At 37.4% G+C, this 26,918-nt stretch overlaps 1 protein-coding gene and 1 long non-coding RNA gene across 25 annotated transcripts, besides 2 other annotated features; one reads left to right on the top strand and one right to left on the bottom strand.

The window, feature by feature from the left end:
- SGO1 (shugoshin 1) lies at nt 304-26,597 on the top strand. 24 transcript variants are annotated; one of them, XM_011533377.3, is made up of 9 exons: nt 304-509; nt 3,156-3,304; nt 3,386-3,582; nt 8,843-8,919; nt 10,531-10,589; nt 12,135-12,941; nt 15,958-16,147; nt 16,375-16,466; nt 25,964-26,597. In XM_011533377.3, the coding sequence occupies exons 2-9, from the start codon at nt 3,163-3,165 to the stop codon at nt 26,083-26,085; spliced, it is 1,686 nt and encodes a 561-aa protein (XP_011531679.1). In that variant the 5' UTR covers nt 304-509; nt 3,156-3,162; the 3' UTR covers nt 26,086-26,597. The 24 variants fall into 24 exon arrangements, 22 of the variants coding, with proteins under 22 accessions (XP_011531679.1, NP_001012412.1, NP_001012410.1 ...); NM_001012412.5 differs by lacking the exon at nt 304-509 and adding an exon at nt 984-1,131 and having other exon boundaries at nt 12,135-12,185; NM_001012410.5 differs by lacking the exon at nt 304-509 and adding an exon at nt 984-1,131.
- Nucleotides 507-566: an enhancer, noted in NCBI's record as "active region_19585". NCBI's record gives its function as "activates an Ori minimal core promoter by ATAC-STARR-seq in GM12878 lymphoblastoid cells {active_cell/tissue: GM12878}" and the evidence as "EXISTENCE:reporter gene assay evidence [ECO:0000049][PMID:35858748]".
- Nucleotides 587-1,266: an enhancer, noted in NCBI's record as "active region_19584". NCBI's record gives its function as "activates an Ori minimal core promoter by ATAC-STARR-seq in GM12878 lymphoblastoid cells {active_cell/tissue: GM12878}" and the evidence as "EXISTENCE:reporter gene assay evidence [ECO:0000049][PMID:35858748]".
- On the bottom strand, nt 1,075-12,904 carry SGO1-AS1 (SGO1 antisense RNA 1). The gene is made up of 4 exons (NR_132785.1): nt 12,665-12,904; nt 12,372-12,455; nt 9,940-9,973; nt 1,075-1,215 (listed from the first exon to the last, which is right to left on the bottom strand). It is a non-coding gene; the product is annotated as an SGO1 antisense RNA 1 (long non-coding RNA).

Raw genomic sequence — 26,918 nt, 5'->3', positions numbered from 1 at the left:
AGGGAAAGAGTGTTCTTGACAGAACAGCATTGGCAAAAGTGGCAAGAATTTTAAGAAAATTAAAGAAAATGTACAAGTGATGGAACCAGGAATCATGGGGCTCTTTAAGGACAAAATATCTTAAAGGAGTTTGAAATTCACCTTAAATGCAATAGGGAGCCATTGTAAAGTTTCCTATTTGATACTTGTTTTGTAAAAATATTAATCTATGAAGAATATAGGGAGTGGAGTCTGCGGTCAGAGTGGGTACTAGTGCAATTTAGGGAATGAGATTAGGCTGGAAGCTGGATTGGGGGGAAAAAGATGGGCATGAGAGAAACTTGGAAAGCAGAGTTGAGAAGATCGTGTGACCGACTGGACGGGCAAAGGTTAAGAGAGGATAAATAATCATTAAGGACGATTTCTCAGGCTTCTAGTCGGTAACTGGATGGATGTTGGTGCCATTTCTCGAGAAGAGTTAAAGAGCCAGAGATAGCCGGCAAAGAGAAACATGGAGCTAGAATTTTCAGGTATCTGCAGTTTCCCTAATACCTTTTTAATCCAGAATTTGCTCCTTGTTTTGGTTTTAATTCCTCTAAAAGCTGCTTCCGTGTTGCAAGCTGGCTGACCGCTTTAACAGGCAACCAAAGAGATTCTTCTCACAAGAGGGAGGCTTTGAGCACAACCCGGGACATTTGAAGCTGTCAGACTGAAGAAACAGGAAGCTTTGAACTACCTATCACACTCGGCCTTAAAGGTTTCGGAGTAACTCCACCCGTAAAATCCCCACGACTCTGATTAGAAAGTCCCGGCGGGTCGCCGAGACCCGACCGCAGGCTCCGCCCCAGGGCCAGGTGGATGCCCGGATGTGGACTTGAGCGAATGTGCGTCACGTGACGTCGCCTGGCGGGGCGGGACTCTGCCTGCGACGGTGGTGTTGGGTGCATCCTGCGCCACGTGACCGCCTCCCAGCCAACCAATGGAGGAGCGAGGCGGAAAATTTCGAATGTGGCGGCGGTAGTTCCAGGCGACGGCGGACGGTGGTACGGTCCTGGAGGGCCCAGTGCGCGGGGCTAGCCGTGGCTGGAGAGCTTCGAAGAGCCTTGAAATGTGAGGAGGAGGAAGATAGCTGTTGCAGAAGTAGTGGCCAAGGTATCGTTCTGGACGCGCCTGCGGCAGGAGGGTCGCCGCGTCCACTTCCGCCAGCCCCACCTCCCCCCGGCCTTCCTGGAGTCCCTGAAAGAGGAAGAAGTAGGTTTTAAGGTGCGAAACAAGGGCGTAGTGATCCCTGTTTGACTTCCCTTCGGTTTTCAGTATCATTCTAAATTCGGTGGCCGAAAGCTCGGGCCGTGGAGTCCCACTCGCCGCGCTTTTCGCCGTTCAGCCACTCGATCTGCGCTTTCAGATGTTCCGGCTTCCATGGAGACCCTAATTTCCTACTTTGCAAAATTGTGTAGATTAAGTGATGTGCAAATAAAGCTTTTACAATAGCTAAAAGCCTGGCTCAACGTAAGGACACAAGAAAATTGACAGCAGTTCTTTGTGCAGCGTGATACCGTTGACGTCCTCCTTGTCCAGGCCATTCTCTTCCTCACTTACCCTGGAGAGGCCGGCACTGACTAGTATCCTACCTGGCTGTCTTCGCAGCAGGACTAATTGGAGAATTATGGACGGAGATCAAATATGCTAGGTTCTTTAAATCCAGAGCGCTTACACGAGTACTGTACAGATTGAGACCGTCATCTCGCGCTGTGGTCTGTCTTTGCTTTCATCCCTTCTGTCTACCACACCCCCTGCTAATAACCATCGCCTTATTTAGACAGGATATAAAACTTTTGATATGGCAAGTTTCTTTTGTGATTTTTAACTTGATTAAAAGTAATAACGAAAGCTTTTTAGGTAAGGCTTTGCCTTTAAAATACCTTAACTAAACTAGATCCGTTACTTAATCTGTATGACTCTCAAACATCTCCAATTCTAACTTAATTGTGTAAAACAACCCCTTTACCGTTCGTGCTTTTAAAAATAGCTACCCTATCTCTGCTAGGAACCTCCCAGTACATATTGTATATACCTTGGTAGAAAGAAAGTTCTTAAGTGGTATCTACAATACCTATATTTAAGATTCCAGACACTGCATAGAGGAAAATAAGGCCTGGAGGAAATACTCAAGATTAAGTGTAAGGTTTAGGAAAATATTTGACTATCGTAGAGGAGATGAAGATATCCTTTGTAGTGAAAATTCTGTGCATAGATTGTTATTGGAAACAAGTCTTTTTTTTTTGCAATTTTAAGATCTGCAAAGTGCAATCTAGCGTAAAAGATGTTTGTGAAAAGTGGTTTGACATGTTTAGTAGCATGCTAAAGCCTACCTGATTTGCAACGTTGAAAGATTAAGTATAGTTATGTATTTAATACTCAACGTTTAACTGTATGTACAACAATATTTAATGTCTGATTTGTTATGTTCATAATTTACTGGGAGTTAACAGCCCTAACTTTTAGCCACAGTTTGAGAATACTAGAGTGTTCCTCTGCCCAAGTTCCTGCTCTAGCTCTGTACTTGTTACAATAGCCTATTAAAATTGTATGTAGTGCTACATAGTTTAAACCTCTAAGGAGTACCTTGACTTTCTTGAGACTGTGTGCATATCATAAGTGATAATTGCGTTTAAAGAGTATGGAAAAATAGTTGAATGACCTAATCTGATGAATTAATCATTAGAGAAGAGCTGGAAAACAAAACCCAAATATATAATTGCCTCAGAACTAATGCTGTAAGCTTAAGCAGTAAAAGTTGGTCCTAAACATTTTCTATAAAAAGTGTAAATAATGCATCAAAATATAATAATAAGCATTTTCAATAGTGTCTGGCATATACCCCACAGTGAGTATTTGTTAAAGAATGAATAAGTGGCATATTGTGGAATCTTTGGGTTGGAAATCTATATTCAATAAACCTTTTCTATAAAGTGCCTGAGGAGGAAGAGAGAATATCAGAAATATGAATGAGATTTTAAAAGGGGAAAATTTATATTATCAAGTTGGTTAACTATCTACTTTGAGCTAATTCTACAGTTTAGTCTATTTAATGCATTCTTTATGAACAGCCTATGTTTTTTAAGTTTTATATTTGATAATATTCTCTCTGAGAAAAAATATTTTTTATTGTTTAGGCAAAAGATGGCCAAGGAAAGATGCCTGAAAAAGTCCTTTCAAGATAGTCTTGAAGACATAAAGAAGCGAATGAAAGAGAAAAGGAATAAAAACTTGGCAGAGATTGGCAAACGCAGGTCTTTTATAGCTGCACCATGCCAAATAATCAGTAAGAGATTTTTATGTTGTCCTTTTATATCACTTTTAAGTTTAGATTTAATAACTGATAAATTTTTTTATCCTCTTTTAGCCAACACTTCTACACTGCTGAAAAATTACCAAGACAACAACAAAATGTTAGTTTTAGCTTTGGAAAATGAAAAATCCAAAGTGAAAGAAGCCCAAGATATCATCCTACAGCTGAGAAAAGAATGTTACTATCTCACATGTCAGCTATATGCATTGAAAGGAAAACTTACATCACAACAAACAGTAGAACCTGCTCAGGTATTTTCATTACTAAGGCCGAATTTCTTAGTTTAGTTAAGCCATGAATAAGTAGTTTAGATCAATTATGTTATTTAAATGAATTACTGATAGCTCAGTTATGCATGAATTGTTTAAAACATCCTTCTTTAGTGCTCCAGCATAGCTATTGCATTTGGCCATTTAAGAAAGCTTCAAGCATATAGGTGATTGAGGCCTGTTCCTGCCTGTTTCATTCTTAAAGCAGGTAGCAAAACAGGATCCAGAAGAAATAGTTTAGCCTTTTGCATTGCTGGTCCATTTGAATGTTCAACTAAGTGAGTCAAAGATAGTGCAACTAAGCTAAAGATGTAAAAGTGGTAGTTGAAGTGGACTTATCCAAAAGTTTTAATCAATGCTATCTTAGCTTTTACCTAGCCTTTTGTTTTGCTATGTCATTTTGCTTTATCCAGTGGGGTTTTATAAGAACTACCTTTATTTAGGACATAGGGAGTATTTAAGTGCTTTTTGGAGAACCATTTTTACCTACTTGTTGGCTAAGTAGAGAAGACTATTAACTCCCAGACAAGTAAGATCATAAACATTTGCTGCTCAAATATTTTTTTTTTTTTGAGACGGCGTCTCCCTCAGTCGCCCAGGCTAGAGTGCAGTGGCGCGATCTCGGCTCACTGCAAGCTCGGCCTCCTGGGTTCACGCCATTCTCCTGCCTCAGCCTCTGGAGTAGCTGGGACTACAGGCACCCGCCACCACGCCTGGCTAATTTTTTGTATTTTTAGTAGAGACGGGGTTTCACCGTGTTAGCCAGGATGGTCTCGATCTCCTGACCTCGTGATCCGCCCATGTCGACCTCCCAAAGTGCTGGGATTACAGGTGTGAGCCACCGCGCCCGGCCTCAAATTTTTAATCTGATTCTCTTTGTGTCTAAGATTGTAAAGAAGGTGTTCAAATATGGTCCTGCTAGCCAAAATATAACAGATATGGAGAAAGTTTGCTTTAGGATATTCTTTGTGTCTGGCTATACCATTGTGTATCACTGTACACAGTAATGTGTATCATTACTTACGAAAAAAGTAATGATGAGCTAGTTTATTTTTCCCTTTTTCCAGTAGCCACTGCCAAGGAAATGGGGCAGAGAAAAAAAAAGCAGTGGTGTCAGGTGTACAGCAAGTTGAATTTCTTCCCAGTGGCCATTGCTTCGCTATGCCAGTGAAAACAGTTGAGTTGGCACTTAGGCCGGAAGGTCAGATAAGAAAGCGAGAACATTGTGATTAGGGGAGGGATATGGGGGGTGGGAGGAGGTGGGCAGGTACTTGAGAATGAAATTAACATCACTTCTCCATTGACAGGAGAAGTCAGTGAAAGAGTTCTTGCTTCCCTTTTGATTCCTTATTTTTTTTTCTCCATGTGATTAAGATACATGTAATATATACATATATACACACATAGACAATAAGTACATATATGGTATATTTGAGAACTGCCTCTATAAAGATTAGATATGTTTTCTTCACGGGAACTTTATGTTTTTTTTTCTTTTTTTTTTCTTGAGACAGAGTCTTGCTCTGTCACCCAGGGTGGAGTACAGTGGTGCAATCTCAGCTCACTGGAGCCCCTGCCTCCTGGGTTCAAGTGATTCTCGTGCCTCAGCCTCCCGAGTAGCTGGGATTACAGGCATGCGCCACCACACCTGGCTAATTTTTATATTTTTAGTAGAGACAGGGTTTCGCCATGTTGTTCAGGTGTCTCGAACTCCTGGCCTCAAGTGACCCACCCACCTCAGCCTCCCCAAGTGCTGGGATTACAGGCATGAGCCACTGTGCCAGGCGTGGTAGATTACTTTTTCTTTTTCTTTTCCAGAATGTAATCTTTTCTAATTTTGTATTTTCCTTGTTCAGTCAACTAGTAGGGGGAAACAGTTCCTCTAAAGGCATTTGAATCTTCCTCCTCCCTTTACAAAGTTTTTGCTGAAAAACAGAAATAGTAGGAAGCAAATACTCAATGAGATAATTACAAAAGCAGTTGGGAAAAAATTCTATTACTGCAGCTCAATAGTTTTTGAGTATTTATTAAAAACATTGTTAGTTGCTACGCAAATATATTCTTAGCATTTAGAAGGTCATTGTTTCTATTTTCTGCTATGTACTAATTGCTTGTGTCACTCATTCTCAACCTCATTGTACACCCGTGCTTCAGTGCTTATCAAATCAATTTAGCAGTGGTGGAGAAGCTTAAAATGTAAGAATTTTACAAGAATGTTTTCTTGCCTAGCCCTAGCAATAGTTAACGTTTAGGTAATTTTTAACAGCCTTTTGTTCCCTAATTTTATAGTAGATTTTTCAATGACTTGTTTTTAAGTTATATTAGTATATAGTTAAATGTTCTTTTTTATTTACCTGCATTAATATTAGTTTCAGAACATTAGCTATATTCATGTCAAATTTAAAGTTTCATCTTTGGCCAGGGTAGGTTGGGGGTGGACAGAGTCTCGCTCTTACCCAGCCTGGGGTGCAGTGGTGTGATCACAGCTCTCTGCAGCCTTCACCTCCCAGGCTCAAGCACACTCAGCCTTCACCTCCCAGGCTCAGGCAATCTTCCCATCTCAGCCTCCTGAATAGGTGGGACTATAGGCATGCACTGCCACACCTGTCTAATTTTTTTGTTGGGGGTAGAGACAGGATCTTGCCATGTTTCCCAAGCTGGTCTTGAGCTCCTGGTATCAAGCAATCCTCTGGCCTTGGCCTCCCAATGTGCTGGGATTACAGGCAGAAGCCGCCACACCTGGCCTAAAGCTTTTAACAGGATTAAATTTCTAGTTGTTTTGTTTTTAATGAACATTTTTAGCTTATTTATTATAATGTCAGCATATGTTCATCAAATTTCAAAAGATAATTAAATTAGAATTGGCTTCTTAGGAATTGAGTGAGAATTGTCATCTTCATAACAGAGATCTGCAAATCCACCTCTATACTTAGGTTCTTCATCTTCCCTCTTGTTACAGTGGCAGAATGGCCCCTGTTCCTACTAAAGGCAAGCACCAACCCCAGCCACTCCCCAGCCCATGCATCCAATTTTCTCTTCTCACCTCCTCTACAACTTTATTCCTGGAATATTGTTCTCTCTTCTATATATCCCCCTCTCCACTGGATCATTTCAGTCATCATAAAGATGTGCTTTCGTATCTCTCAACCTTAGAGAAAAAGTAATGAAACCTCTCCTGGTCTCATATTTCTTTATCTCCTCATTTCTTTGCTTCCCTTCACAGCAGAACTTTTTAAAAGAAAACAGTATATTCTTCACTTCCTCAGCTTCCATTCACATTTGAAACGACTCTTTTTTTTCCTTTGAGACAGAGTCTCGCTCCATTGCCTAGACTGAAGTGCAGTGGCATATCATGGCTTACTGCAGGCTTGACCTCCCAGGCTCAAGTGATCCTCCCACCTCAGTCTCCTGAATAGCTGGAACACCACCACGCCCAGCTAATTTTTTAAAACTTTTTTGTGGAGACCATCTCACTATGTTGCCCAGGTTGGTCTTGACCTCCTGGGTTCAAGTGATACCCCTGCCTCGGCCTCCCTAAATGCTAGGATTACAGGCATGAGGTACCACGCCTGGCCTGCAGCCACTCTGAATCTAGATTTTATCCTTACCATTCTGTTGTCACTGCATGTCAAGGTCACCAAAACCTCCATGTTACCAAATTCAGTGGTCACTTCTCTTTCTTCTTGACCTTGCAGTAATAATATGCAAAACAGGGACCACTCTTTACTTGACATACTTTGATCTCTTAGTTTTCATGATATCATGCTCCCCTGCTTTTCATTCTACCTTTCTGACTGTTCCATGTCGGTCTCTTTTGCTGATTTCTTCCTCATTCTACCTGTAAATGTCAGGCATTTTATTGGCCAGGCACATTGACTCGTGGCTGTAATCAGAGCACTTTGGGAGGCTGAGGTGAGAGGATCGCTTGAGCCCAGGAGTTCAAGACCAGCCTGGGCAACACAGCAAGACTCCCATCTCTACAAAATAAAAAATAAAAATTAGCCAGTTGTGGTGGCATGCACCTGTAGTCCCAGCTACTTGGGAGGCTGAGGTAGGAGGATTGCTTGTGCCCAGGAGTTCAAGGCTGCAGTGAGCTATGATAGCACCACTACACTTCAGCTTGGGTGACAAAGCAAGACTTTATTTCAAAAAAATGAATGAATGCCAGTTGTTGTAGACTCATCTTATACCCTCTCATAGCTTTATGTACTGTCTGTCTGCTGATGCCTCCCCAGTTAATAGTACAAAATCTAAAAACAAACACATACACACATATACCCACAGCCACCATTTGCTATCTCCACTTAAAGATTTATAAGGGATCTCAAACATACCTTATATAAAGCACAACTTCCCCTTGTCTCCCCCACAGATGCTGTATACTTCCTACCTTCCTTTATAAGTCTTACTCAGTAAAGTAGCCTACATGTTTGCTTAGGCCAAAACCACAAGAGGCTTTCCTCTCCCTCATTGTTCCCATCTCCATCCCTTTTCAGTCCTTGAGCTTGACCTGTCATCTCAAGGCCTTCCACTGGGCTTCACCTCCATAGCCATGACTCTAATCTTAGCTGATATCATATCTTGCCAGATATGCAATGATGACCTCTCAGCTCTTTCTACCCCCGGCCTCTTTCAATTCAGACTGATCTTTCAAAAACTTAAATCAGTTTACTTCCTTTCTTAATATTAAGTACCTTCCCATCATACTTAGACTAAAATCTAAACTCATGGCTCTCAAGGCCCTACATTATGTGGCCCCTGCATGTACATCTCCTACTGTTCTCAGTGACTATGTTCCAGCCACAACAACCTTTCTTTCCTAAACACAGCAAGATTTTTCTTATGTGTATTTGCTGTTTCCACTGCCTTCTTTTCCTCCTGTTCTTTCAGTGGCTAGCTCCTTTGCAGTCTTCTGATTTATATCACATTCACTGTATTTAAAAGAGCAATCCAACCTGAGTTACTCTCTATCACCTCACACTGGGTATTTCCTTCATGACATTTATCGCAATCTGAAATTTTGTACATATATCTTCTCTTTTTAAAATTTTACTTCCCTGCACTAGAATGTAAGCTTTAAAAGGATAAGACTTACTCTGCTTTTGAGCTGTTATAGTCTCAGTTCCTAGAACCATGGCATGGCACCATGATAGACTGTCAACAAGTGCATATTGTTGAATAAATTAATGCTTTCTTGTGAATACTTCAGTTATAACAGTGTTTTGTTTTAATACATTAACAGAACCAGGAAATATGTTCCTCTGGAATGGACCCCAATAGTGATGACAGCTCCAGAAATTTATTTGTGAAGGATTTACCGTTAGTATCAAATTCTTTATCATGATTATTAATACTAAGAAAGGTTTAATTCTGTGATTCATTTATGAAAGGAAATGTGCATCATGTCAACTCTTATATTTGTAGTCTGTTGCTTTCTCTACTGAGAATATATTTAAGAGAATTTGATGTGTTGAAATTCTATTACATATAGCCAAGCTAAACCCTTCTTTTTCTTATATTTCACTCCTTTTTTGATGCCTAGGAAAAAGAAGCCTTACCACAGTTTTTAATTCTACTTCATACTTTCCTTCAGTCATACTTTTCTGTGTACCATGTTTTTATTCTAAGAAGGATTAGCTATTGAAATGAGATGTTTTGCCAGCCCTCTGAATAGTCTGGTTCAGAAAATAAATAAATAAATAAATAAATAAAATATCATATTTAACACAGTTGTCCCATTGTCTCGCTGATCCAGTTCATTTTTCTAGATCCCATATACCCTCCTCCCCTTCTCTTGGATCAAATGTACTTTGTTTGTTTATGAATTATTAAGATTTAATTATAAACAGTAAAATGCACAGATCACAGTTACAATTTGATGAGTTTGACTAATGTATATATCGTGGAACTAAAATTTCAATGAAGACATAGTGTTTTCACTGTTAACATTGTGGGCCAGATAATTCTTTGTTGTAGAGAGCTGTCTGTGCATGATGGGATGTTTAGCAGCATCCATAGCCTCCACCCAGTGAATCCCAGTAACATCATCAGGAGAACAAAAAATGACTTCAGATATTGTGGCATGTTCCCTGGAGAGCATAATTGCCCTTGGATGAGAACTACTGCCATAGACAGTTCTTTCGTATGCCTATCAAGTCCATCCCCTTCTCCACAGAAGTAACCACTAAGATGATTTCTATCACCATAGATTACTTTTAATCATTAGTAGTTTTTAAACTGTTGTACTTTAAGATCTGTTGTGGGCAAAAGGTAAGATAAGGTAATTGAATTTGTAGAAGATTTCTAAAGTAGTTATTATTTACCACAGCCATTACTTACCTAAATCTGTTTAATGTCTAGAGTAGAAAATTCTCTACAGAGAATAAAGAATAAAATTACAATTAGAATGAAACTGCCAGTAATAGTGTTAGAGTATAAAGAACACTTCATGTTTCATGAACCAAAGAACAACATTTGTAAAGAAAATGAACAATGTTAACTTCAGAAGAGTTCAATAGTTAAGCACCATAAAAGCATATATTACCAACAAATCACAGCTCTGCTAATGATAAAGCAGGCTCCTAAAGAGTTGAGTGATCAAACTACATTTTTTAAAAAACATTTAACAAATTAATTCTCATGGGCTGTTTCCGTAGTTAAATTGAGTTATATAATGTGTTTTCAGGTGGAACTCTCCAACTTGATAGGTTGGTTCTTCAAGTGGGAATTGAATGTCAGTCATAACAAATCAGTCTCCCTGTAATCAGCATAAGTGTCCTTTGGTTTCCTTTGATACAGAATAGATGTATTGATTTGAAATCGAATTATGAAATGATACTAAAGGAAAGAAAAATTATAATTTAGGAAAATACTGAATTTGTTTTTATTACATAATTGTTAAATTTCTGTTTTTCATTGGTATTTTCTAAGGCAAATTCCTCTTGAAGAAACTGAACTTCCAGGACAAGGAGAATCATTTCAAATAGAAGGTAATTCAAGTGAAAATCTAAAAATATTATTAAGGGCAAAATAAGGTCTTTGAGAACAAATAATACAATTAAATTTATCTAATTCTTTTTTTTTAACTTTTTAAATTTGTTCATCTGGTATTCTGCTCAAAGCAAATCTGTTTATTTTACACAGAGTAATAGAGTGTTAAAATATATTTATTGTGTCAAATCTGTAATCTGAATCTTTGGCTATAACTATGGCAGCAATTTACTGATTGCTACTACGTGTCAAGCTCTATGTTAGGCATTTTATGTGCATAATCTCACCTAACCCTCACAACAACCTAGGACTATAAGTACAGTTAGTCCTGTTTTATAGGAACTCAAGAAGGTAAAATATCTCACATGAAGAAGTCTAGATGTTAACAGCTAGCATTTAAAATCAAAGTTGAACTCCAAAGCCATCCCTTTCTTACTACTTTTAAATTGATATGTCCATGTTCTCAAGTGTCAATCTCCTCCACTTGAACCAAGCATTGAAGAAAGGATAGTATTTGAATAAGCAAAACCAGACGTCGAAGGAAGGATAGTATTTGAATAAGCAAAACCAGACATAGCCCCACTTTTCCTTAAAATACAAATTATATTTCTTACCTGAGAAGCTTTCTAGTTATTCAAATCTTATTTATTTTTCAAAGAACAACTTAGCTCCCACTTTCTCATTTGTCCCACTTTGGAATATGCGGTTCTACTTCTCTGAATCTGTACTCAATGATACATATAGACTATTCATTTTCTTTAAACCAAGAGCACATAAAAGCCTGTTATAATTTTTTTTTTTTTTGACAGTCTTGCTCTGTCGCCCAGGCTTGGAGAGCAGTGGTGCGATCTCAGCTCACTACAAGCTCTGCCTCCTGGGTTCACGCCATTCTCCTGCCTCAGTCTCCCGAGTAGTTGGGACTACAGGCACCCACCACCACGCCTGGCTAATTTTTTGTATTTTTTTTAGTAGAGACGGGGTTTCACTGTGTTAGCCAGGATGGTCTCGATCTCCTGACCTCGTGATCTGCCCGCCTCGGCCTCCCAAAGTGCTGGGATTACAAGCGTAAGCCACCGTGCCTGGCCTATAATGTTTTTAAAGATTATAAAGATTGAATGTCCCTTATCCAAAATGCTTGGGACCAGAAGTGTTTTGGATTTATTTTTTAAATTTTGGAGTATTTACATTATATCAGTTCATCATCCCTAATTTGAAAATCTGAAATCCAAAACCCTCCAGTTAGCATTTCCTTGGAGCATCATGACTGCACTAAAAAAGTTTTGGATTTCAGATTTTCAGATTAGGGATACTGAACCTGTACAAGATTCTTTCACATGTCAGATATAAGCCATCAGTTGATCACTGACAAGTAAATAGATGGTAATATTTAAGTTCCCAGGTTTTTATTTACAGATTTTATAATGTAGGAAAACTACAGAATGACCTTTTGGTCATTCACTTTTTTAGTTTGAATTCTAAAGTTCTTGAAATTCAAATTTCCACAAAGTAAAACTACTTTTCTCATTTATTTTTTAAATTCTCAGATCAGATACCTACTATTCCTCAAGACACACTGGGAGTTGATTTTGATTCAGGTGAAGCTAAGTCTACTGATAATGTCTTACCTAGAACTGTATCTGTTCGTAGCAGTTTAAAGAAACATTGTAACAGTATATGTCAGTTTGATAGCTTGGATGATTTTGAAACCAGTCATTTGGCAGGGAAGTCTTTTGAATTCGAAAGAGTTGGATTTTTAGACCCACTAGTAAACATGCACATACCTGAAAATGTACAACACAATGCTTGTCAATGGAGCAAGGACCAAGTTAACTTATCACCAAAGCTGATTCAGCCAGGAACGTTTACTAAAACAAAAGAAGACATTTTAGAATCTAAATCTGAACAAACTAAAAGTAAGCAAAGAGATACACAAGAAAGAAAAAGAGAAGAGAAAAGAAAAGCTAACAGGAGAAAATCAAAACGTATGTCAAAATATAAAGAGAATAAAAGCGAAAATAAAAAAACTGTTCCCCAAAAAAAAATGCACAAATCTGTCAGTTCCAATGATGCTTACAATTTTAATTTGGAAGAGGGTGTTCATCTTACTCCTTTCCGACAAAAAGTGAGCAATGACTCTAATAGAGAAGAAAACAACGAGTCTGAAGTGAGCCTCTGTGAATCAAGTGGTTCAGGAGATGATTCCGATGACCTCTATTTGCCCACTTGCAAGTACATTCAGAATCCCACGAGCAATTCAGATAGACCAGTCACCAGGCCTCTAGCTAAAAGAGCACTGAAATACACAGATGAAAAAGAGACGGAGGGTTCTAAGCCAACAAAAACTCCTACCAGTAAGTGATCTACTTGTTTACCTGTATTTTTAATGTTCGTGATAAATGATCACTCCTGATGCTTATATACTATACTTACCATCTGTTTCTCTGGTGGAGGTTGGAGACTTACCATCTGTCTCTCTTTGGTGGAAGTTATGGTCTGATTAAACAGTGGGGGGCTGGGTGTGGAAATCACAGTTGTATTGCTCTGACCTAATTCAGAGATTGCTTGTTATGGAGACAGAATTTTTATTTTCAGTAAATTAGGACTCCCAAGGGGACAGAGGGACTTTTTTGTAGACTTAGGTTGAATTGAAGTAGCTTTTATACACTTAACTGAAGTATCCCCTTGAAAGTGAAATCAAATTTGAATCCAGTGACTTGTTATTTTAATGGCCTTGTTTTATATTAAATTTGACAGGAACCGTGATTTAAAATAATCTTCTAGTTAGTGAAGATTTCCTCAATTGATAGGCTTAGTATTCTTTTGTACGACATCTCTAAAAACTGGCTCAGAAAATATTTTATTAGATCAAAAGTAGGCATAGTTCAAATGTTCGTAATACAACCTACACCTGTCCACAAAGATTCTCATTTGGCAATTTTAGTTAATACAAGTAAAACTAACATTTATAGTCAAGTTGTATCATTTTCAAAATATTGTCACATCATTTTATTTGATCCTCAGAACAATTCTGTGAAGTATAGGTGTTATGATGCTTATTTTGTTTGTAAGGAGATTAAAACCTTAAAAACCAAACCAACTTTCTAAATCGGCCAGTTAGTCAGTGGTAGCAGGCAAGTATCTTTTTTAAAAATATGCTGTAAGCCGGGCGGGTTGGCTCACGCCTGTAATCCCAGCACTTTGGGAGGCTGAGGTGGGCGGATCACCTGAGGTCAGGAGTCCAAGACCAGCCTGGCCAACATGGTGAAACCCCATCTCTACTAAAAATACAAAAAAATGAGCCAGGCCTGGTGGTATGTGCCGGTAATCCCAGCTACTCGGGAGGCTGAGGCAGGAGAAAAAGAATTGCTTGTACCCAGGAAACAGAGGTTGCAGTGAGCCGAGACCATGCCATTGCGCTCCAGCCTAGGCAACAAGAGCGAAACTCAGTCTCAAAAAAAAAAAAAGCAAAAATGCTATAATGATGTTAGAATAAATCAAACATGATTGTCAAAGTGTTGATAATTATTGGACCTGGGTAACTCAGAGTTTATTATACTGTTATTGCCATCTTTGTGTACATTTAAAAATGTCCAGAAAAAGTTGGGATTTTTTTGTTGTTGTTCACTTTTTAATTGAGACAGGGTCTTGCTCTATCACCTCGGCTGGAGGGCAGTGGCACTGTCATGGCTCACTGCAGTCTCAACCTCCCAGGCTCAAGTGATTCTTCCACCTCAGCCTCCCCAGTACTTGGGACTACAGGCATGCGCCATCACACCTGGCTAATTTTTTTTTTTTTTTTTTTTTTTTACTTTTTGTGAAGATGAGGTCTCACTGTGTTGCCAGGGTGGTCTCAAATTCCTGGGCTAAAGCAGTCCTCCTGCCTTGGCCTTACAAAGTGCTGGGATTACAGATGTGTGAGCCTGTATCCATAAAAATACATAAAATACATAAAAAATACGTTTTTAAACGAAAAAAATATACTCTAAAATGGTATTACTCAGAGTTTAATCCCTAGACGTCTTTTAAGAAATGCAGAATCTCAGGCCATACCCCATACCGTGGAGTCAGAATCTGCATCTTTTTTTTTTTTTTTTTTTTGAAACAGAGTTTCACTCTTGTTGCCCAGGCTACAGTGCAGTGGCACGATCTCAGCTCATCCCAACCTCCGCCTCCTGGGTTCAAGCGATTCTCCTGCCTCAGACTCCCGAGTAGCTGGGATTACAGGCATGTGCCACCACGCCCAGCTAATTTTGTATTTTTAGTAGAGACAGGCTTTCTCCATGTTAGTTAGGCTGGCCTCAAACTGCCAACCTCAGGTGATCCGCCCACCTCGGCCTCCCTAAGTGCTGGGATTACTGGCGTGAGCCACCGTGCCTGGCCATTAAGAAGTCCTCCTGTGGATTCATATACACATTAAAGTTTGAGAAGCATTTTTCCAGAATATAGCAACTGATCTGATATTGTTCCAAACAACATATTTCTCAAACTGAAAGTTGGAATAATTAATACAGTACAGTATATTTATGTGGGAACAAAAAGGACAGACTATAAAACCCAGATAACACTGGAGCATATGGCTCTTAGTATACAATCATTTCACAGTTATAGTTTTTACTTTTTTGGGGATACAGTTTGCTTTTTAAAGCTATTTGAGGAGATTGTTTTGCAGTGTCTTTACTATGTGTTGGACATTTGCCTCCCAATATAGGTGTAACTTCAAAGTATAATAACTTGGATGTTTATGATGGGAAAAACACTGAGTAACTTTTTTACATGCTAGCTTTTCTCCTGGTGTACACAGAGGCTGTTATTTAGAATTCTCATTTATTTAATAGAAGGAGTTTTAGCGGCTTTATAAGACTATAGGAAGAGACTTGATAATAAACCTTGGTATTGAAAGAGAGAGGACTTGATTCCAAATAGCAAGGTATGACTAAAATGAAATTCCATGGTTAAACAAAGTTATTATGCCCAAGCTATCCTAGAAGAATTTTAAGTTTTAGTAAAGTGTTCTGTTATAATTAATATTTCAACACTGTCTGGTTTGAAAGGAAGAGGAAAAAATGATGAAAAAGCTAAAAAAAGAATTTATTATTGGCTGGGCATGGTGGTGCATACCTGTAGTCCCAGCTACTTGGAAGACTGAAGTGGGAGGATTGCTTGAGACCAGGAGGCAGAGGTTGCAGTGAGCTGAGATCACACCACTGCACTTCAGCCTGGGCAACACAGTGAGAGCCCATCTAAAAAAAAATTCTATTATTAAATGCTGGATTTTGTGTACAGTTAAGATATATACAATTGAGTACAATTTAAGTTTTTGTGTGGGTTTTTTTTTTTAAATCATATTCAGTAAAAATTGTTTTGTAGCTACACCACCTGAAACTCAGCAGTCACCTCATCTTAGCCTGAAGGATATCACCAATGTCTCCTTGTATCCTGTTGTGAAAATCAGAAGACTTTCTCTTTCTCCAAAAAAGAATAAAGCAAGCCCAGCAGTGGCTCTGCCTAAACGTAGGTGCACAGCCAGCGTGAACTATAAGGAGCCCACCCTCGCTTCGTAAGTATTTGGTTTGTGGGAACTTATTTTTAATGATACATGTCGGGGGGAATAAGGTTATGGAGCTTTGTTCAAGAATGAGTTTTTTCTGAAATATAAACATTTGATTTAAAAAAACTGAAGTGAGAACATTTAAAATTGGTGTGTTTTACCATAACTTGGTAGGGAAGAGTAAGTTAATATTGGGATGCTTACATTATGCCTGAGATCTCTTTTTACTCTTACAGGAAACTGAGAAGAGGGGACCCTTTTACAGATTTGTGTTTTTTGAATTCTCCTATTTTCAAGCAGAAAAAGGATTTGAGACGTTCTAAAAAAAGTATGAAACAAATACAATGAAGGTTTTGTTGGATATTGTTTAAATTCAATCTACACCTCTTTCTGTTGCTTCAGGAGAGGATCTGTAAGAGTACACAAACAGAGTGAGCCATTGCCATAGAATATTCTCTTGACAGGACCCTAGCTCATAAACATTTCTTCAGAACTATACTTCAAATGGGATGCTTTGTATTAAAACTTTAATAAATTTAATTTATTTTTTCTTTTGAATATAAATAACTGAGCTTAAGCATTATCATCATATCGATTTCTTATGCTGCCTAAACCTCTTAATTTTAGTCGAAATATATCTTTTTTTTTTTTTGGAGGCGGAATTTCATTCTTGTTGCCCAGGCTGGAGTGCAATGGCACGATCTCAGCTTACCGCAACCTCCGCCTCCCAGGTTCAAGCGATTCTCCTGCCTCAGACTCCCGAGTAGCTGGGACTACAGGCATGTGCCACTACGCCCGGCTAATTTTGTATTTTTAGTAGAGACAGGGTTTCTCCATGTTGGTCAGGTTGCTCTCAAACTCCCAACCTCAGGTGATCTGCCCACCTCGGCCTCCCAAAGTGCTGGGATTACTGAGCCACTGTGCCCAGCCCAAAATGTATCTTATACAAACATTGTAGAAATGAATAATGATTACTCAAATAAGATCTTTTAATTATAAGCTTCTGGCATCTCTATTTTTCCCTTAAGTAGGGGATACTAAAGTGAATGATTTTCTAAGAGGATCTTTTGAAACTCTTTAGTACAATATTTGAGTAAAATAAATTATTGTGGATCTTTTGAAACTCTGTGTAGTATTCGAGTAAAATAAATATTTGACATTTACAGTAGGGTACACCCTAAGTTGTTTATGAATTCCTTATACCACTGTTATATTTAATTTTTCAGATAAAATATGTATGGGAAAATGACTAGAGAAATTGATTCTTTTTTAGGCTCAGGGACAAGATAAGTGACTAATTGTGAACCCCAAGCTCTAATTGTATGTTCAGAGTGATGTCTCCATAAAATTACAAATGTCATGTACTTTCAGGGTAGCTCCTTATTTAGTCAGAAATCTCAGAGATTAAATGTGTGAATATTTAGGGTTTTTGCATATTTTTGACCAACCAATGAAAGCGAATTAGTTCAGTTTAGAAAGTTTGATGTCTATACTTGTATATACCTCTTTAAATTTTAGAACTTTGTAGGTTATTCATTTTTAAAGAGCAATAAAGTTTGTATAAGATAGTGATTGCTTTCCTTCTATTCTTTAAATATCAAAAATAGAGTATCTCTCTGTCTTCACTATTCTCATCCTTGGACATTTCCTCTCCCCTCCCCTTGGTATTCTCTTTTTTGAGGGGGGGGTGTTCTAGGTGAGTTAATCCTTAGTATTTTCAGTAGTCATTGCTATAAAACTCTCAGCTTCCCCTCCATACTTTCAACCTAACACTTCTCTCTCCCAACTTATCTCTGTGTAATCTCCCAGTTCATGATTAACAAATTATAATTTTATTGAGGGACTGTTCTAATCCTGATATCTCAGATTTTCTTGGCTGTTATCTCCCTATCTTTCTGTATTCTATGTCAGTCAGAGCCAAAATCCTTTTCATCATCCCAAATTTTTCTATCCGCCACATCACTGATTCATACACCCTAGTCTTCCATCACAGTCTCTTAATTTTTAAGTTTTTTTTTTCTTACTACTCCCTTCATACTTATTCTTTAATTTCATGGAAACACTAGAGTAGCTATCTTAAACTAAGACTACAGACCATTAAAAAGTCAGTTTCTCAGCCAGGCACGAGAAACTACTAACACCTGTAATCCCAGCACTTTGGGAGGCCAAGGCGGGCAGATCACGAGAGGTCAAGGAGATCGAGACCATCCTGGCTAATACGGTGAAACCCCGTCTCTACTAAAAATAGAAAAAATTAGCCAGGCGCCTGTAGTCCCAGCTACTTGGGAGGCTGAGGCAGGAGAACGGCGTGAACCCGGGAGGCGGAGCTTGCAGTGAGCCGAGATGGTGCCACTGCACTCCAGCCTGGGTGACAGAGCGAGACTCCATCTCAAAAAAAAAAAAAAAACAGTTTCTCAGTCCATGTAACCACCTTTCAAATGATCAGTAGCCATATGTGGCTAGTGGTTACCATATTAGACAATTGAGGAAATATTGAACATTTCCATCATCACAGAAAGTACAGTTGGACTATGGGCCAAATCTAGCACACCACCTGCTTCTGGATGGTCTTCAACCTAAGAATAGTTTTTACGTTTTTAAATAGTTGAAAAAAAAAAAAAAAAGCAAACATTTGAAATCAATTTTAATGATAGAAGCACTAACTTTGAACTCCAGTAAAGTACCTACATTATATTCTTGAGTTTGCCTCTTGGCCTACAATCCTAAAATATTTACTTTCTGGTCTTTACCAAAAAAGTTTGCCAACTCCTGCTCTAGACCATTGAGTACTTTACTTTTGCCTTAAAGATCATTCTGGTCTGACACTCTGATCTAGCTTTGATCCTTACCTTCCCTTCATCCCCAAAGTCAATCATTATCCTAAAATCAGTGTTGAATTGTTTGTATTTTTAGTGTTCCTATAGTCTTGCTGTCATATTTGTTCATAGGCTTTTAAGTATTGTTTTATATCTTAACATTTTATAGGAATATTGTACACATCATTTTACAACTGACTTTTAACTCAATATTGTTTTTGAGATTTATCCGTGTTGGCAGATGTAGATTATTTTCATCATTGTACAGTTTATTATATAAATCAGACTTATTCATTTCTTCTTTTGAGACACAATTCATTTCCACTTTATTATTTACAAATTAGTGCTGCAGTGAATATTCTGCATCTTTGTACACTTAAAGTGCTTAACTTTCTATAAAGTTAATACCTAGAAGTGGAGTTGCTTGGTTGTAGAGTATATTGAACTTTAACTTTACTATTAGTTAGGAAATTGCTTCCTACAGTGGTTCCACCAATTCTGTTATAAGGAGTATATCACTCTCCTAATAGCAGTTTCTAAGTTCCAGTAGCACCACACACTGTCGATCACTTAGTTTTATTAGACATTAAAATTAGCCAAGCCAGGAAGTATGAAATTATTTCTTTGTTTTAATTACTATGAACTTGTATCTGATTGATTTATTTATGAGAATTCAAGTGTTTATTATTCTCATTTCTTCCTTTATGAATTATTATATCTTTTGCCTGCTTTTCTAATAGAATGTAAAACTATGGATTTTTTATATAGTCTACACACTATTCCTTTTTTTCTGTTGACAAGTATTCTAAGTATCTTTCCTCAATCTCTGCCCTTTTTTATACCTTGCTTATAATTCCCTTTGATATTTAGGAGTTTTAAATATTAGTATCGTCTACCACCTTCTTCCTTAAGATTTTGTCTATAATTTGTACATTTTTGTTTTTCACTTTAAGGTCTTTAAACCATATGGCATTTATTTTGAGGACTAGGGATCTAATTTTATTTTTTCCCATGAGGATAACCAGTTGTCCCAGCACAATTCATTGACTAATGTCTTCTTTCCCCACTGCTGAATATTCCTAGCTTTGTCATAGAATGGGCTTCTTTGCATTGCTTTATTTGTTTAGCTTTATGCTGGGTATATTGTATAGTCACAATTTTTTTGTGTGTTGGTAGGGGTGGTAAATATACATAGAATTTATCATTTGATCTTTTTAAATTTTATTTTTGTTTTTTTATTCTCACTCTGTCACCCAGGCTGCAGTGCAGTGGCCAATCATAACTCACTGTAGCCTCAAACTCCTGGGTTCAAAGGATCCCCTTTACCTAGGACTACAAGCTTGCACCACTGCACCTGGCTAATTTTTTTTTTTTTTTTTTTTTTTTTTTTTTTGGTAGAGATGGGGACTGGCTATGTTTCCTAGGCCAGTCTTAAACTCCTGGCCTCAAGCAATCGTCCAATCTTACCTCCCAAAGTGCTAGGATTACAGGCATGAGCCACCACACCTGACCATTTTGATCATTTTATTTGTAAAGTTCAGTAGCATTAAGTACATTCACATGATTGTGCAACCATCACTACCCTTTTCCAGAACTACTTCTTCTTCCCAAACTAAAACTCTATACCCATTGAACAATCACTCTCTCTTCTCCCCTCTCTCCCAACCTCTGGTAACCACTACTTTTACTTTCTATCTCTATGAATTTGACTGTTCCAGGTACCTCACAGAAATGGAATCATAGGATATTTGTCCTTTGTGTCTGGCTTAGTTAGCATAATAATCGCAAGGTTCATCCATGTTATAGCATGTATCAAAATTTTATTCCTTTTTAAGGTTGAGTAACATCTCATTGTATGTATACATATTTTCTTTATCCATCAATGAACATTTAAGTTTGTATATCTTTGAAGAAATGTCTATTCAAATCCAATAGGTTGTTTTTTGTTGTTGTGTTTTAGTTTTTATATATATTAGATATTAGTCCCTTATCAGATATGTGATTTCCAAATGTCCTCCCCCATTCTGTTGGTTGCCTTTTTACTCTGTTGATAGTGTCCTTTGATGTACAATAGTTCTGAAATTTTATTGAATCCAATTTGTCTATTTTCTCTTCTGTTGTCTTCTAAGTCATAATTTTTTTAATACATAGGTAGGATTTGTTTGCTAACTTTTTTTTTGTTTGAGATGGAGTCTCGCTCTGTCAGCCAGGCTGGAGTGCAGTGGTACAATCTTGGCTCACTGCAACCTCCACCTCCTGGGTTCCAGCGATTCTCCTGTCTCAGCCTCCCAAGTAGCTGGGATTACAGGTGTGTGCCCACCATGCCCAGCTATTTTTTGTATTATTAGTAGAGTCGGGGTTTCACCATGTTGGCCAGGCTGGTCTCAAACTCCTAACATCAAGTGATTCGCCTGCCTTGGCCTCCCAAAGTGCTGGGATTACAGGCGTGAGCCACTGCGCCTGGCCAACAATTTTGTTTAGGATTTTTTGTATCTATGATCATGAGTAAAATTTGCCTATATAATTTCTTGTATACACCTATTTTCGGTATCAAGGCTATACTAGCAATGTTTTCTTTTTTTGCTCTGTGGAAACAAATTGCACCTGTTGAGGGTTTGGTGAACTTGACACCAAAACCATCTTATCTTTCTATGTTTTCATGGGGAAATTTTGTACTAGTTTTTTAATAATTATAAGTCTTACATGTTCTCTAATTCTTCTTGAATCTGTTTAATTTTTCTCCCTTGGGAATTGTTAAGTGTACATGTATTGTGATAACTGCTATAATTTTGCTTTTATTGATTTTTTTTGCTTTATATCTGCTACAATTTGGTTCCTCCAAATCCCATGTTGAAATCTGATCCCCAGTGTTGCTGGGGGATCTAATAGCAGGTGTTTGGGTCATGGGAACAGGTCCCTCATGAATGAATTAATGCCCTCACTGGGAGGAGGGGATAAGTAAGCTCTCACTCATTTAGTTCCCAAGACAGCTGGTTGTTTAAAAGAGCCTAGTGCCACTTCTCTCTTGCTTCCTTTCTTGCCGTGTGATCTCTGCACATGCCAGCTCCCCTTTGCCTTCTACCATGAGTGGAAGCAGCCTGAGGCTTTCACCTCATGCCCAGTCTTCCAGCCACCAGAATTGTAAGCCAAATAAACATTTTTTCTTTATAAATTATCCAGCTTCGGGTATTCCTTTATAGCAACACAAATGAACTAAGAAACTACTCTGCTTTTTCTTTATGTCATTTTGATAAGGGTCAAATTCTGTGTTTTCCTTAAAATGAATTCAATTTTGCCCTCATTCCTGAGGTATAGGTTAAGAGTTACTAATTTTCTTACAGGCTTGATTTTGTTGTTGAGAAGTCTAGTCATTCTAATTTTTCTTCATATTTTGTTAGTTTGTCCCTTAGCATTTCATATTCTTGACTTATTATAAATGTATTATTTTTAATTTTCTGTTATTTTGCTGCTAGTTTATGGAATACAATTGATTTTCATATCTAGACCTTGCTAAATTCATTCACTAGTTCTACTACCATGTTTTGCAGTTCCATTAGGATTTTTTTTTGTATATGATCTTAATTAAAGTCTGCACGTAAAGACAATTTACTTCTGTCTTTCTATTTTGCATGTCTTTTCTTGCTTTACTGCACTGACTAGAACTTCCTCCATAATGTTGAATAGGGGTGAGAAGAGCAGTTATCTTTGCCTTTTTCTCGACTTTGGGAGGAAGCATTTGGTCCTAGGGCATTACTGTGATATTAGCTGTAAGTGATCACTAATAACCTTTCTCAGACTAAAGACATTTCCTTGTATTCCTTCTTTGCTGGGAGGTTTTTTTCCTTTTTTCTTTTTTTAATCTTGAGTGACTGTTGAACTTTGTCAGTTACTTTATTGAGATGATATTTTTTTCTCCTTTATTCTCTTAATATGGTGAGTTAAATAAATGGATTTCCCATGTTAAACCAACCTTGAGTTAATGGGATAAATCCATCACTCGGTCATAACATCATTTTTGTATATTGCTGAATTTTATTTGTTAATATTTTGTTAAAGATCTTCACATCTACGTTTGTGAGAGTTATTGGTCTATAGTTTTCTTGTGGTTTCTTAAATTTTTTCTAGCTTTGGTTATCAGAGTAATAATACCAGCCTCATAAAAGGGGTTCACAAGTCTTTCCACCTCCTCTTTTCTGAAACAGTTTGTGTAGATTGATAATCTTTCTTGAATGTTTGACACACTAGTGAGACTATTTGTGCTAGGACTTTTGTTTTTAGAAACGTTTTAAATTACGAATTCATTTTTAAAGTTGATGTAGAGATGTTTTAAGTTTTCTGTTTCTTTAGACAGTTTTGCTAATTTGTGTTATACAAGGACTTTGTTCATCTAAGTTATCAAATTGTTAGACATGTTATTCATAATATTCCCTTGTACTTTTTGTCTTACATGTAAGAGCTGTAGTTATCCTCCTCTCTTTTCATTCCTGATATTGATAACCTTTTTCCCGTTTGCCCCAAGAATATTCACTGGCAGCACTTGCAGCTGCAGCGTTTACCCAAAGATAACTTTGCCACAAAATAATCTCGCTCTTATTATTTTTCCAACACTCTAGTATATTGACTTCGGAAACAAAAGATATTCTATTTATAGCATTCTGTTATAGTAGTACTATATTTCCATTTAGAAAATGTAGTAATTCTCAAAACCTGAAAATGTCAAATCCTAGAAAATATAGCAATCCTACGTGTGATGTTAATATCATTCTTGAACAGTTGTTGGTCAAAGATTCATTTGATGAACCCAGTTTTTCCAAAATAGATGATTCTGATGATTCAGACAATTCCAATGTTAGTTCTGTTAGAACTAACTCCAAGAAAAGTTTTTATATTTTATTTTCACATTGAAAATCAGTCAGGTTTGCTTCAGCCTCAAAGAGCATGTTTATGTAAAATTAAACGAGTGCTGGCAACAGGCTGTGCTTTTTTTTTCCAAACAGGAAAAGGGATTATTTGTGCTTTCTTCTTGATCAGTCTAAATAGAAGTTTATGACTTTCAAAGAACCAGTTTTTAGTTTCAGTGATTTCTCTCTTTTTTATTCATTCTCTATTTCATTGATTCCTACTCTTTGACATTCTTCCGTCTACTTTGGATTTAATTTGCCCTTTCCTAACTTCTTAAGGTACTATGAATTAAGACTTCTCTTATTTTAATGTATTTTTAATGCTGTAAGTTTTCCTTTAAGCACTCTATTAGCTGCACCCTACAGATTTTTATATGTTGTCATTTAGTCTAAAGTATTTTCTGATTTCTCTTGTGAGTTTTAGTCTTTTCTTCCCTCTGGGCTTCATTTTGGATAGTTTCTTCTGCTTTGTTAAATCGTCTATTAATCCTATCCAGTGTATTTTTTCTGTCATGATATTGTATTTTTTTTTTTACCTCTAGAAATTCCATTTGGTTCTTTATTTTATATATATATTTTATTTGTCTCTTTATTGTGTTCATGTTTTATATTCTAGAGCATATTTATAATGTTCAGAATAACTATTTTAACACCCCTATCTGCCGATTCCATTATCTCTGTCATTTCTGGATCAACTTTTATTGGCCTATTTTTCTTTTAGTCGATTATTATACTTTCCTGCCTTGTATATCTTGTAACTTTTTAAATTGGATACTGTATATTGGGAATTTTACATTTGTATAAGCTATATCTTCTTGTATTCTTTTAAAGAGTTAACTTCGTTTTGTCAGGCAATTAAGTTTGTTAGAGATCAGCTTGATCTTTATTAGGCTTGCTTTTAAGTTTTTTGGGGCAGATCTTTGGGAGCTTTTACTCTATGCTCGTTTACCCCCAGTACGAAGATGTGAAGCATCTGGGGTTTTCACTGAATGTCTCATTTATTCAACAAGGTCTATCCATTCTGGCTGCTGGTTGCCCAAGCCTGTTCAAAGTATTACTTTTGAGTGTTGTTTGGCTCACAACTCCCTGTAATTGTTCTTCACTCTGTAGTTCTTTCCATAGTTACATGAAGTTTCATCCTACACATGCATGGATTAGTATTCAGTCAACATTCAGGAGACAGAATTCTGGAGCTCTTTCTCTGCATAGCTCTTTCCCGTCTATTACTCTGCTAGCAAATTCTACATCTGCGGCCTCTCCAAACTTCAGTCTGTCTCTTCAACTCAATGATATTACTGGACTCTGGATTCTCACTCCTTGTCCCACAATTCTGAAACTACGTTGGGAAGAAATATAGGAAGAACATGGGGCTCACTGCTTATTTTCCTTCTCTCTGGAATTATAATCTTATACTAGCTATTGCACAATTTCTGAAAACAGTTGATTAATATTTTCCATCTTTTTTGCTTGTAGTGGCTGAACAAGTCCCATAGTAGAGGACTTTATAGGCAGAAGTGGAAGTCAATAATTTATCCTGCTTGGGATTCACTATGCTTATAAATATTCATGCTTTTTATTATGAAAAATTATTGGCTTGTTGAATATTGCCTTTTTCCCATTCTCTCCTTATGCAATATCTCGTAATTGTTGGGCTTTGATTTAACTAATAATATTCAGGAACAACTGTGCTAGATCTTGTTCTAGGCCCTTGGGATGCCTCAGTGACCAAAACCAATATTCTGCCCTGATGGAATTCACATTGTGTATAACCTGTGTCTCTTAACTCCTTTTTCATATTTTCCATCTTTTTAGCTACATTCTTTCCATATCATTTCGTCAGTTCTATCTTCCAGTTCACTCATTCTATCCTTGGTTATATCATAGCCTATGTAACCTGTCACTTAATGTTTTCTCTATTTTTAGCAATTATAAGCACTCTAATTCTGATATTTGTTGTATCTGCTGACTTTTGATTGTTTGCTCACATATTTTCTAATTTTTTATTGTGAGCTCATCCTTCATGGAACTTATTTTTCCTTCTGAATAAAATCTGTGGACTAGGTTGTAGAAACATCTCTGTAGACTGATTTTGTGTTTGCTTTTACCAGGAGCCCTGGAGGTATCACCTGCCAAAGAAGCAATTTTTATTTTATATTATGTTCGAGAATTTGTTTCGAGATTCCCAGACTGTAGGAAATGTAAACTTGAAACCCACATCTGCTTGAGGTAAAGTCCACGGGCTTCACATCCTTAGAAAACTTTTTTAGTCCATGCATTCACTAATGTATGCAGACCTTTAATAGATTCTAGCTTTATGTGTTGGGGGAGAGATGGAGGGGTGTTGACAGTCTGTTTCACTCAGCCTACATACATAATAAAATCTAAGCCCTTTAATTAGAGATAGCAACTTTCCCAGGGTGACCGAGGAATCAGTACGTGTTGAACCCCTCTTTTAAGTTTCCTTTTGGTTGTGTCACTTGGAGATTGCCTTTTCTTTCTTGTAAGCTCAGCTGTGTCCTCAAATATATTGCATTTTACCCAGCATTTCCAGGTGTTTTCAGGGGTCAAAGTTTTTAAGTTATCTTAGTCTTTGATATTGTGTAAGCGAAATTCTCCAATCCCATCTCCTAGATGATTTTTTTTTAAATCACAAAATGTGATTATGCTTAACAGCTGTTTCCTGTTTCTCTTAAAATAAAATCCATTTCCTATTTCTCTTAAAATAAAATCCATTATTCTTAATATGGCCTGTTATGGCCCTGCACCATCTCACACTACACCCCTCTGCTTCTACAACTCTTGTCATGTTGAATTCTCTCAGTTCTTTGGAGATCTTAGCCTGTATTGTCTCTGCCTGCCTTCTTCCAAATTTTGCCTTAGTCAATGCCTATTCTAATCTTTCAGCTTAAAAAGCCACTTCCTCTCAGAAGCTTTCTCTAAGTTCCTGCTTACCAGATTTTGTCTTCCTTTTTATAATCTCATAGCACTATACTAGTAAAAGCTCCAGAATTTCCCTATAAACAGGGACCTAGGGTGGTGATTTTTTTAATGGAGGAGATATTG

Source organism: Homo sapiens, chromosome 3, assembly GCF_000001405.40.
Source record: "Homo sapiens chromosome 3, GRCh38.p14 Primary Assembly".
Classification (NCBI taxonomy): domain Eukaryota; kingdom Metazoa; phylum Chordata; class Mammalia; order Primates; family Hominidae; genus Homo; species Homo sapiens.
This window is presented reverse-complemented; position numbering and strand designations above follow the sequence as displayed.